The sequence below is a fragment of the Homo sapiens genome, chromosome 1 (assembly GCF_000001405.40).
Source record: "Homo sapiens chromosome 1, GRCh38.p14 Primary Assembly".
NCBI classification, from domain to species: Eukaryota; Metazoa; Chordata; class Mammalia; order Primates; family Hominidae; genus Homo; species Homo sapiens.
The window spans coordinates 62514531-62528505 of NC_000001.11; the positions used below are offsets into that span (position 1 = coordinate 62514531).

The 13975-nt window shown below is 36.1% G+C and overlaps 1 protein-coding gene across 14 annotated transcripts in view; it reads right to left on the bottom strand.

The window, feature by feature from the left end:
- DOCK7 (dedicator of cytokinesis 7) overlaps nucleotides 1-13975 on the bottom strand; it is a 233661-nt gene that overhangs the window by 59805 nt on the left and 159881 nt on the right. For all 14 annotated transcript variants that reach the window (XM_047432967.1, NM_001272001.2, NM_001272000.2 and 11 more), the window contains one exon: nucleotides 13621-13775. In XM_047432967.1, the coding sequence (XP_047288923.1) occupies nucleotides 13621-13775 (155 nt within the window). The remainder of the gene's footprint in view (nucleotides 1-13620; nucleotides 13776-13975) is intronic.

The window sequence follows — 13975 nt, forward strand, 5'->3', positions numbered from 1 at the left end:
CACTCTGTTTCAGTCATCATACTAAACATTTTACATACATTATTTGATTTAGTCCTCCAACAGTATTGCCAAGCAGGTCGTATCATCCCAATTTTACAGATAAAAATACAGATGATAATAATAATAATAATGATGATGGCAAAAAATAAAATTTGAAATGTGCAAGAAACTATGCTAATCATGTTTTATTTAGCTCTCACAACAACTGTAAACTATAACATTAACTATTATTATTATTAGTTTACAGGCAAGAAAACTGAAGGCTAGAGAGTAATTTGCCTTACTATACCAAGAAAGGGTAAAGCTAGGATTTTAGTCTAGGTTAACCAGACTCCAAAGCCCATACTCTTCACTATTATACAATGTTCTAATACTCGGCTGACAAATATACTAACTAAAAATGAGGAAGAAGTAGAGGGGATGTTGAGAGGAAAGACATAGGAAAGCTGAACATACACAACTGTTGAAGTCATGATCTCAACTACCTCACCAATCTTCCTTCTATAGTGGATGATAATTAATGACCAAATGCTTTATGTGTATTAAGTTATTTATCCTTCACAATCACTCAAAGAAATAAGTATTATTACTCACCTCATCTTACAGAAAAAAAAAAAAAAAAACCTGACCACCAGAAGTATTTTGTAATAAGAGGCGGGACAACAGTTTCAACACAGAAAGTGTGGCTCCCGAGACACAAGCTCCAAGCTCATATCCACTTTGTTTACTGCCTCTCATGGCTGCCCATGCATATAAGTGAATTCACCCACATAAGCTTGCTTAACTATTTTGCTATACTGCTTCTGAGCTGGGCACAAAAGAACTTTGACCCTGATCCCTAAATCCACAATTGTTCTCATAAGGAAAATGCTCCTTTATTTTAAAGACAGACACTTTTTATAGCCGAACTTTCAGATATGCATAAATACACAGCACTGACTGAATTTTCAAGTACCTATTTTTTAGAAATACAATAAAAAATTATTCTCATCTTGACAAACAGGCATATGCTGACATCTCTTATATTCCCACATAAATTGCCAGTAACACAGTGACATCTCTGGGAAGAATTAAGACAAACATGAAAAAGACTCAGTAATGTAAAGATGTCAGTTTTCCATCAAATTGTTCTATAGGATCAGTGCAATTCTAATCAAAATCCCAGTCAGGTTTTCCTGGAACTTTGACCAATGATTTTTAAATTTAATGGGGGAAAAGCAGAGAGCCAAGATACTCTTGAAGAAGAACAAGGTGGGATGTGGGGAGCAGGGAGATGAATGTGTTCTGCCAGATATCTGCAGTTACTAAAAAACTAAAATAATTAGGACAATTTGATTTTGGCATATTTTTGGCAGTCAAATGAAACAGAATAAAGAACACAAAAAGTGTCCTATGCATATCTGAAAATCTGATCTGTGACAGAGCTGGCACTGTGGATCACTACTGAAAGGATGAACTGTTTAATAAATGATGTTGAGACAACTGATCTTCCTTGAGGAAAAAAAAAGCAGATTCCTACCTTGTACCACCATACAGAAAATAAATCTAGACAAAGAAAGAACTTTAAATACAAAATGTTTAAAACTTTCAGGAGGAAATATAAGACAATATATTTATAATCTTGGGGAAAGGATAGTATATCTTAAATAAGACATAAAAAACATAAACCATAAAAAAGATGGTCACATTTGCCTACATTAAAAATGAGAATTTGTATTCATTCAAATAAATACATTAAAAAGGCACATCATAAATTAGTAGAAATGTGCACATATAAAACCAACCTGAGATTAGTATCCAGAACAGTCTCAACCAGGGTTCCGTGGCATAATTAAGCCCTACAAAAAAGGATTTGAGGGACTATTTTCCCCATTCTCCCAAAGACATTGATAGCAAGGACCACTCTAGGTGTATAGAAGTTAATCTATCACCTACAATAAATGCCCTAGCCCATTAGTTCTTAATTTTCTGGTTGAGAAGGGATGACCTCTAGAAAACAGAAAGAATTGTTTCATAACATTATTACCAGGAATGAGGAAGAGGTCCCAGAGTTCTACATTTTCTAGGCCAAGATTCATACCTCTCCTTCATATTATAACAACCAGAGCTTCACGATTACTCTCTGCCTTCAGACCATCAGGATTAACCTCATTAAATTATTTTCCCCAGTTTGTGTCTACCACCTCAACAGGCCCAGCCTTCAGAAGGCTTCATTCATGACTCGGACTCTGATCACCACACACATAGCTCTTTATATTGTCTCTTCTTACCTCACTTGCCATGTCTGCCCCTTCTCCTAAAATTCTTCCACTATGACCTCTGAAACACATGGTCAATCATTAACAAAACTGCTTTATATCTATAAGAATACATAGCTTATGTTCTCATAGATGTATAAGAACACATGTATCTTTGTCAGACTATACAACCTACTAACCTTCATCACTGCAGTCATATACTAATCTCCAGAAGACTGGCCCTTATATCTTGATGCTTTTAGCTCCTGACTCACTTTCACTATTTTAAACACTACTTTTTGTCACAGTTCTTAGTGATTTCAATGTCTATGTATTTGATTCTCTAAATATCCTGTGCTATTTTTTACTTCCTTAACCAACTTGTCTAATTCTCAAGAATACCACTTACTACACACACTCACCCTTGCAGTCAAACCTTATGCCTTTTATTACCATTATGGCATGTTCCCCTAAATTTCCATTTTAGGTATGTCCCACCATGCCAATTAAAAAACAAAAACAAAACAAACAAACAAAAAAACAAACAGGCCGGGCGCAGTGGCTCACGCCTGTATCCCAGCACTTCAGGAGGCTGAGGCGGGTGGATCACCTGAAGTCAGGAGTTCGAGATCAGCCGGACCAAAATGGAGAAACCCCGTCTCTATTAAAAATACAAAATTAGCTGGGCGTGGTGGTGCATGCCTGTATTCCCAGCTACTCAGGAGGTTGAGGCAGGAGAATTGCTTGAACCCGGGAGATGGAGGTTGCAGTGAGCCGAGATTGCGCCATTGCACTCCAGCCTGGGCAACAAGAGTGAAACTCTGTCTCAAAAAACAACAACAAAAAAACCACCTCCATTTTAATGATCTCTCTTCACAACCACCACTTCAACTTTCCATCTCATTACTTCTTATAAATCAACTCCAACAACACACACAATATCAAGTATTAGAAAGAACATGGAGCAACAAATATTTCTTCATTGCTAGAAGGAATATATATTGCTAGAACCACACTGGAAAACAATCTAACCAAGTAAAACTGAACATGTGCATAACCTCTAACCCAAAAATGCCACTCTTAGGTATATACCTTAGCGAAACTCTTCTACAGAGTGACGTAAAGGAACATTCATAATACCTTTATCTGTAACAGCCCGAAACTACAAACAACCCAAACTTCCTTTGAGAAGAGAATGAATACATAATTATATTTTCTAACGGACTGCTATGACATTACAGACTACAACTATACATATCAACATAAATGACTCTTACAAACATATACAAAAAAATCAAGTCATAGAAGTACACATAGTATATATTCATAAAAAGGTGAAAATATGTGAAGCTAAATAAAATATTGTTTAGAAATATAGACAAAACTGGCTGGATGTGGTGGCTCATGCCTGTAATCCCAGCACTTTGGGAGGCTGAGTCAGGTAAATCACTTGAGGCCAGGAGTTCAAGATCAGCCTGGCCAACATAGTGCAACTCATCTCTACTAAAAATACAAAAAAATTGGTCCGGCGTGGTGGCTCACGCCTGTAATCCCAGCACTTTGGGAGGTTGAGGTGGGTGGATCACGAGGTCAGGAGATTGAGACTATCCTGGCTAACATGGTGAAACCCTGTGTCTACTAAAAAAATACAAAAAAGTTAGCCAGGCGTGGTGGCGGGCGCCTGTAGTCCCAGCTACTCAGGAGGCAGAGGCAGGAGAATGGCGTGAACCCAGGAGGCAGAGCTTGCAGTGAGCCGAGATTGCGCCACTGCACTCCAGCCTGGGTGACAGAGTGAGACTCCATCTCAAAAAAAAAAAAAAAAATTAGCCAGGCGCAGTGGCAGTCACCTGTAATCCCAGCTACTCAGGAGGCTGAGGTGGGAGAATCACTTGAACCTGGGAGGCAGAGCCTGCAGTTAGCCAAGACTGCACCACTGCACTCCAGCCTGGGTGACAGAGCAAGACCCTTTCTCAACAACAGCAACAACAACAAGAAGTCAATAAAAGAGAGAAAAAAAAAACTATAATGGGGTAAGACAATATAAAGTAAAACATAAAATGTTAAATACATCCAATTTAATTAAACTAAATGTAAATGGATTAGAAACTCTAGTGAAAGAGAGAGATTAACAAACCAGATTTTTAAGATACAAGAAAAAAATCTAACTATATGCTGTTTTTAAAAGAAGTATCTAAAACATAATACAAAAATGTTGAAAGGGATGAAAAAGTCATGCTATACACACACACACACACACACACACACAGAGCAAAGAAAACCTAGTGTAATTATAACTACTTTAAAAAGCATCATAGTTCATGTAGATGAAAGTGCAATCCACCAAAAATTATATAAAAGTGTTAAATGTTTCATAATCAGGCCTCAAAAGAAACAAAAATCTGACAGAATGACAAGGAGAAATTACAAAACCACAATTGTAGTGGGATATTAGAATAAGCATGCAAAATTTAGTAAAGACCAAAAAGATTTAAACAACAAGAGTACAGGACATAGAATGCTGTAACTAACAATGAAAGAATATTCATTCTTTTAGAATACATGAGATATTTACAAAAACTGACCATATACTAGACCATAAAACTAGTTTCCACAAACATAACAAACTGATATCATACAGAGTTATGCTCTCTGATCATTTAATTTGGCCAAAATCAGAAACAAGGATATCTAGAAATTTTCATGACTGAAAATTTAAGACAAAAACAACTTCTTAAATAGCTCAAAGGCCTAAGAAGAAATCATAATGAACTTCAGAGTCATTCTGAGATGAATCTTGAAAATGCTACCTATTGATTATGATAAACTTGTTCCCCCAGCTCACAATTTAGAAGTCACAGATGACAGAAGGGAGAATGTAGTAGGCAATGTGATCCTAGAGGCGATGAGAAGGGATGACTAACTGGCTAAAAGAGAGAGAGAAGATGAAACCATTTGGGGAAGATGTAAGAGAATGCAACTAAGTTGAATAAATAAGATACACATTTTTTAAAAAAAATGCCTGTATAGCCAAGACAATGAGCAAAAAGAACAAAGCTGGAGGCATCACACTACCTGACTTCAAACTATACTACAAGGCTACAGTAACCAAAACAGCAGGTACTGGTACCAAAACAGATACATAGACCAAGGGAACAGAACAGAGGCCTCAGAAATAACACCACACATCTACAACCATCTGATCTTTGACAAACCTGACAAAAACAATCAATGGGGAAAGGATTCCCTATTTAATAAATGGTGTTCGGAACCGCCTAGCCATATGCAGAAAACTGAAACTGGATCCCTTCCTTATACCTTATACAAAAATTAACTCGAGATGGATTGAAGACTTAAACGTAAGACCTAAAACCATAAAAACCCTTGAAGAAAACCTAGGCAATACCATTCAGGACATAGGCATGGGCAAACACTTCATGACTAAAACACCAAAAGCAATGGCAACAAAAGCCAAAATTGACAAATGGGATCTAATCAAACTAAAGAGCTTCTGCACAACAAATGAAACTATCATCAGAGTGAACAGGCAACCTATAGAATGGGAGAAAAATTTTGCAATCTATCCAACTGACAAAGGGCTAATATCCAGAATCTACAAAGAACTCAAACAAATTTACAAGGAAAAAACAACCCCACCAAAAAGTGGGCAAAGGATATGAACAGACACTTCTCAAAAGAAGACATTTATGAGGCCAACAAACATATGAAAAAAAGCTCATCATCACTGGTCATTACAGAAATGCAAATCAAAACCACAATGAGATACCATACCATCTCACACCAGTTAGAGTGGCGATCATTAAAAAGTCAGGAAACAACAGATGCTGGAAAGGATGTGGAGAAATAGGAACGCTTTTACACTGTTGGTGGGAGTGTAAATTAGTTCAACCATTGTGGAAGACAGTGTGCTGATTCCTGAAGGATCTAGAACTAGAAATACCATTTGACCCAGCAATTCCATTACTGGGTATATACCCAAAGGATTATAAATCATTCTACTATAAAGACACATGCACCTGTATGTTTACTGTGGCACTATTCACAGTAGCAAAGACTTAGAAACAATCCCAATGCCCATCAATGATAGGCTGGATAAAGAAAATGTGGCACATACACACCATGGAATACTATGCAGCCATAAAAAGGATGAGTTCATGTCCTTTGCAGGGACATGGATGAAGCTGGAAACCATCATTCTCAGCAAACTAACACAGGAACAGAAAACCAAACACCACATGTTCTCACTCATAGGTGGGAGTCGAACAATGAGAACACATGAACACAGGAAGGGGAACATCACACACTGGGGCCTGTCAGGGGGTAGGGGGGTAGGGGAGGGACAGCATTAGGAGAAATACCTAATGTAATTGATGGGTTGAGGGGTGCAGCAAACCACCACGGCATGTGTATACCTATGTAACAAACCTGCACATTCTGCACATGTATCCCAGAACTTAAAGTATAATTTAAAAAAAGGGAAAAAAATGTTACATATAAACAGCATTTAACTAAACAATCAAAGAAAAATGCATAGGCTGAAAATACATATCAAAAAAGAAAGGATGAAAATTAGTGAGTTAAGCATCTATCTCAAGAAGTTAGAAAAAGAACATGAATGTAAACCCAAAGAAAGCAGAAGATAGTAAATAATAAACTTTAAAAAGTGAGGGTCAACAGTGCCACCATACTGGTTCTTTATAAAGACTAACAATACATTTCGACTGTCTGGTAAGACTGATAAAGACAAGAAAAGGTACAAAAATCTAGCCGTAGAAAAAAGTTTACATCTACTACAGATGATACAGACATTTAAAAAATTATACAAGGTATTTTTGAATAACTTTATAAGTCAAGAAATTTGAATACATTTCTACTAGAATAAAATTTACAAAAATCAGTTGTTAAGAAGACCAGGTGCAGTGGTTCACACCTGTAATCCCAGCACTTTGGGAGACTGAGGCGGGGGGATCACCTGAGGTCAGGAGTTCAAGACTAGTCTGGCCAACGTAGTGAAACCCTGTCTCTACTAAAAATACAAACATTAGTCAGGCACAGTGGCAGGCACCTGTAATTCCAGCTATTCAGGAGGCCAAGGCAGGAGAATGGCTTGAAGCCAGGAGGCGGAGGTTGCAGTGGGCCGAGATCATGCCACTGCACTCCAGCCTGTGTGATACAGCGAGATATCATCTCAAAAAATAAAATAAAATAAAATAAAAATAAATAAATACAATCAATGTAAGAAGAAACAAAAAACTTCAATAGTCTCACAGATAATAAATTATAACAGTAATTTTAAAACTTGAAAAAGAAAACACTTCAAGCACAGATGGTTTCATAAGTTCTCCAAATATTCCAGGAAGAGATAATTCTAATCTTAGGTACTTGCAGAGAAGAGGATAAAAGAGAAAACTCCCTACCTCATTTTAATTGGCTAGCCTAAACTTGATTCTAAAACCTGAAAAGAATATAAGAAAGAAAAATTATAGGCAATCTTAGGAACATACGTATACAAATCCTAACAAAATATTAGCAAACGAAATCCATTAGTACACAACTATGAAGAAGTTGAGTTTAATTCAGGATTTCAATGTTGGTTTAACACTAGAAAATCAATTTAAATAAACAACATTAAAAGACCAAAAAGCAAAACAATACAGCCATCTCAATGAATGTGGAAAAAGCATTCGATAACAATTCAACTATTCATAACTAAAAAACAAAATGCTTAGTAAACTAGTAACAGAAAGAGACTTCCACAATAAAGGAAGGTATCTTAAAAAAAACCCAAAACATACAGAACATATGTTTAAGAATGAAATGTTGAAAGTTTTACCTTTAAAGATACAAACATCACCACTTCTATTCAACACTGTACTGGAGGTACTAGCCAGTACAATAAATTACATATATAAAAAAACTGACAGGAAGAAACTACATTGTTATTATTCACAAATTATATGATTGTGTGTAGAAAAAAAGAATCTACAAATATGTTATTAGTTTATCACTTTATCATTTATTTTATATTGTGGAAATAAAAATCATTGTACAAAAATCAATTTTTTTGATAATGAGTATTTTGTTTCTGTACAAAAATTGATTCTATTTCCATATAAAGCAATCAACGTTAGAAAACAGAATTTTTGAAAAAGACACCATTTATAGGAACATTAAAAAATATCAAGCACGAATAATAAATCTACAAAAGATATGCTAGTCCTCCTTGGTAGAAACTAAAAAAGTTTATGTACTGAAAGACACTAAAGGCAGCCTAAACAATGGGGGGATTTGTGTTCAAAAATTACGAGATTCAATAGTATAATCATAATTCAATACAATCTTAACTAAAATTTTAACAGGTTTATTGGTTTTTGTTTATTTATTTTAGTGGAACTTTACAAGCTGATTTTCAAATTTATGTAGATATACAAAGGGCCAAAAAGTAGCCAAGAAAAATTTTAAAAATGTATGACTTTCTCTACATGGTAGACCATATACAGGCAGTATTTCAGAGATGTAGGGAAAATATTCTTTTAATAAACGGTGCTGAAATAATCTGGCATAATATGCAATATAAATAAATAAATAAATGAACCTGGACTCCCAACTTACACTGTATATAAAAAAATCTATTTCAGGTAGATTTTAATTTTAAAATTAAATGTAAAAGGAAGAACAAAAAATTTCGAATGTAACACAGAATACCTTCAAAATTCTGAAACAGAAAAAAATTCCTTAAATAAGATATAGAAAATATTAGCTGCAAGACTAAATTTAAGTATATTAAAATCAGGCATTCTAGGCTGGGCACAGTGGCTCACGCCTGTAATGCCAGCACTTTGAGAGGTCGAGATGGGCAGATCACGAGGTCAGGAGATCGAGACCATCCTGACTAACATGGTGAAACCCCATCTCTACTAAAATACAAAAAATTAGCCAGGCATGGTGGCGGGTGCCTATAGTCCCAGCTACTCAGGAGGCTGAGGCAGTAGAATGGTGTGAACCTGGGAGGCAGAGCTTGCAGTGAGCCGAGATTGTGCCATTGCACTCCAGCCTGGGTGACAGAGCAAGACTCTGTCTCCAAGATAAATAAATAAATAAATAAAAAGTAAAATAAAATTAGGCATTCTAACCACCAAATTCACCATTAAATGGGTAAAACAGCAAGCCACAGAGAAGAAATATTTGAACCACTTATAACTGACAATGGACTTGATCTAGAACATACAAAGTCCTAAAAATCATTAAACAAAAGCAAACAACCAAATGGAAAACAAGCAAAGAACTCTAGACACTTCAAAAGAGAGAATCCAAATGGTCAATCATACTTATGGAAAAGTGCACACCGCACAAGTCTTCGGGGAAATACAAGCTAAAATGAGATTCAACTATAAATGACCAGATTGGCAAAAATTTAAAAATCTGACAATTCTCTAAGTATTGATGAACATGTGAAGGAATGAGAACTCTCATATTGTATGTGTTAAGTATAAATTAAGGTACGCCCTCTGGAAAATAGTTGGCCATTACCTGGTATAGATTAAGATACCCACAGTCTATGACCCAACAAATTCCACTTCTAGAAAATACTCTAAATAAAAGTATATATATGCATGCAGGATATATATAAAAGAAAGTCTGCAAAATTGTTATTTGCAATAACCAAGGATCAGAAACCATTCATGCACCTATCAACAGAATGGGCAAATAAACTGATTTATAGTTAGACAATGGAATATCATACTGAAATGAAAATCAGTGAATTATAGCTACATTTCATAACATTAATGAATACTAAAAACATAATATAAAACTAAACTACAGTATTTTGGCAGGACGTGGTGGCTCATACCTATGATCCCAGCACTTTGGGAGGCCGAGGCAGGTGGATCAACTGAGGTCAGGAGTTTGAGACCAGCCTGGCCAACATAGTGAAACCCCATCTCTACTAAAAATACAAAAATTAGCCAGGCATGATGGCAGTCATCTGTAATCCCAGCTACTCGGGAGACTGAGACAAGAGAATCGCTTGAACCTAGGAGGCAGAGGTTGCAGTGAGCCAAGATCGTGCCACTGCACTCCAGCCTACCTGGGCTACAGTGCAGGGCTCCGTCTCAAAAAACAAAACAAAACCAACCAACCAAACTATATATATATATATATATATATATTACTATAAACTATATATTTTTAAAATGCAAACTTAGACGGTAAAACTCTCTATCTATACATTTTTTTGAGATAGAGTCTTGCTCTGTTGCCCAGGTTGGAGTGCAGTGGCGCGATCTAGGCTTACTGCAAACTCCACCTCCCAGGTTCAAGTGATTCTCCTGTCTTAGCCTCCTGAGTAGCTGGGATTACAGGCGCCCACCACCATGTCTGGCTAATTTTTTTGTATTTTTTAGTAGAGATCAGGTTTTACCATGTTGGCCAGGTTGGTCTCGAACTCCTGACTTCAAGTGATCTGCCCACCTTGGCCTCCCAAAGTGCTGGGATTACAGGCGTGAGCCACCATGCCTGGCCTAGATGGTAAAACTCTAAACAAAATTATGCAATTATATCATCAATCAGGACACTGAGAGTTTGGTGGGTTGCTGTGGTTGAGAAAGGGCATGCTAAGAACTTCTGGATGGCAGCCAACATCCTTGTTTTTGACCTGAGTGGTAATTACAAAGCTGTTTATTTTCTAATGTTTTAAAACCTCATTATGTTTTATGTACTTTGTCATATGTAGTATACTTCACAAAAGAAAAGTTAAAAAAAATAAAAAGGTTAATACAATTGAGAACAATGGTCATTCCCAGGGGAGGGAGAGATCAAATTGAGGAAGGCCACTGGTAGCTTCAAAGGTTACCAGGCTGTAATGTCTGATTTCTTAAACTGAGCAGTGGATATGCTGCTGTTTATTTTATTATTACATTTTGTACATGCACTTTATTGTATTATTTTATAGGTAGAATGTCACCAAAAGTGCAATTGATAAAAAAAATTTGCTACACTGGAATTCATTAAAAACTTTCACACTTCAAATGACACCATCAAGAAAGTAAAAAGATAATCCATAGGAAGGGAGAAAGTATTTGTAAATCAGATAGCTGATTATTTTACAAATCCAGAATACATAAAGAACTCTTAAGAAATCTTAAAATAGCAACCTTTTTTTTCTTTTGAGACAGGGTCTTGCTCTGTTGTGCAGGCTGGAGTGCAATGGCACAATCCTGGCTCACTGCAACCTCCACCTCCCAGGCTCAAACAATCCTCCCACCTTAGCTTCCCAGGTAGCTGGGACTACAGTAGGCACATGCCACCACGCCCGGCTATTTTTTGTGGTTTTGGATAGAAACAGAGTTTTGTCATGTCCCCCAGGCTGGTCTCAAACTCCTGAGCTCAAGCAATCCTCCCACCTCAGTCTCCTAAATTTCTGGAATTACAGGTGTGTGCCACTGTGTCTGACCAATGACAAAAGATTTGAATAGACTTTTCTCCAAAGGAGATATACAAAACAATGTGCCAATAAGCACACAAAAAGATGTTCAACATCTGTAGGTTGTTAGGGAAATGCAAATCAAAACTACAGTGAAGTTCCAATTTACAATCACTAAAGGTGTCCTAATCAAAAAGACAGATAATAACAAGTGTTGATGAGGATTTGGAGAACAGAAATTCTTATTCATTGCTGATGAGAATGAAAAACAGTACAGCCACATTAGAAAAAAAAAAAGAGTTTAGAAGTCTCTAAAAATGTTAAACATAGAAGTACCATATGATCCAGCAAATCCACTCTTAGGTATCTACCTAAGAGAGATGAAAACATATGTGGACACAGACTTGTACATAAATGTTCGTGGCAGCATTATTCTTAACAGCCCCAAAGTGGAAATGATACAGCTGTTCATCAACTGACAAATGGATAAACAAACTTTGGTGTATCAATACAATGGAATACTATTTGGCAATAAAAAAGGAAAGAAGTATTGATACATACACGACATGGATGAACCTCAAAAACTTATGCTTAGTGAAAGAATACAAACACAAAAGATCATATAGTAAATAATTTCATTTATATAAAATGTCCAGAATAGGCAATTCTATAGATAGAAGTAGGTTAGTCACTCTCTAGTGCTGGGGTAGGAACGACTGCTAATAGGTATAAGGAATCTTTTCAGCGTATTGGAAATGTTCTAAAATTAGCTTGTGGTGATACCTGCGCAACTCCGTAAATATACTAAAAACCATTAAGGTATATATACTCACAATAGGTGAATTTTTTGATATGTAAATAATCTTAATAAAGCTATAAAATTGTCAAGTTTCCTTAAATATTACTGCATTTTTCTGGAAAAAAATGTCATTTAAAACTTTTAGAACTTGATCTTGCTCTATTGGCAATTTGGTTCCTTCCTGCCCTGATCCTTCTGCCTTTAAGAGGGGAAAAGTTCAGGGGCATAGTAAATATCAAGTGTTTTCAAAACATAAAAAAGTATAAATATTCACAGATTAAAAAAACCCTCAAATGACTGAGAATCTTTCTTAGGGCTGACAAAGAATAAAACAGGTTTAAAAAAATAAAGAAATGAACTATTCCAAAGGATTATAAATCATGCTGCTGTAAAGACACATGCACACGTATGTTTATTGTGGCACTATTCACAATAGCAAAGACTTGGAACCAACCCAAATGTCCAACAATGATAGACTGGATTAAGAAAACGTGGCACATATACACCATGGAATACTATGCAGCCATAAAAAATGATGAGTTCATGTCCTTTGTAGGGACATGGACGTAGGGACATGGACGAAGCTGGAAACCATCATTCTCAGCAAACTATTGCAAGGACAAAAAACCAAACACCGCATGTTCTCACTCATAGGTGGGAATTGAACAATGAGAACACATGGACACAGGAAGGGGAACATCACATACCGGGGCCTGTTGTGGGGTGGGGGGAGGGGGAGGGATAGCATTTGGAGATATACCTAATGTTAAATGACGAGTTACTGGGTGCAGCACACCAACATGGCACATGTATACATATGTAACTAACCTGCATGTTGTGCACATGTACCCTAAAACTTAAAGTATAAAAAAAAAAAAAAAAGAAATGAACTATCTATAATGAGGCAATTTTCCAAATTCTGAATGACAGAATACGGGGCTTTTTCCCATAAACCTTGAGGTAATCATTTTTTAAAACTGTTTGGGAGAAGACAGTTAATATTCTGGGAACTTTAATATTTTCATAAATAAAACTGAGCACTTTTGCATCAGCTGATACAATCATCTCATATATTTAAGGGCATATCCTAGTAAATATTTGTCTTTCTAGAAAAAAAAATTCTGTAGGAGGATTGTTTTTACCGTTGACGTGAGGAGGAAACTGCCAGGCCTTGTTAGTTGAGGGACCGATGTCCCTGCGATTGCCATGGCAACGGTCTGGCTTATCATACTTCCGCTCTCACTTTCATAATCATCAGTGGCTATACAAATTGGTCTTCCTCGTTGATTGTGAGTTTCTAAAGAAAAATAATCCAAAAAAATAAATAAAACTGTTTAGCTGAACTAATTCCCTTTCCTATTCTCCACTATTCTTTAAAAGAATAACTTGTTGACATGTTATAGTTATTAGATTTACTTCTTTTGGATAATATTTTAAATATCTTTAACAGTAACTCATTGCTATGGTAATAATTTATAGTTTACAGAGAACATTAAC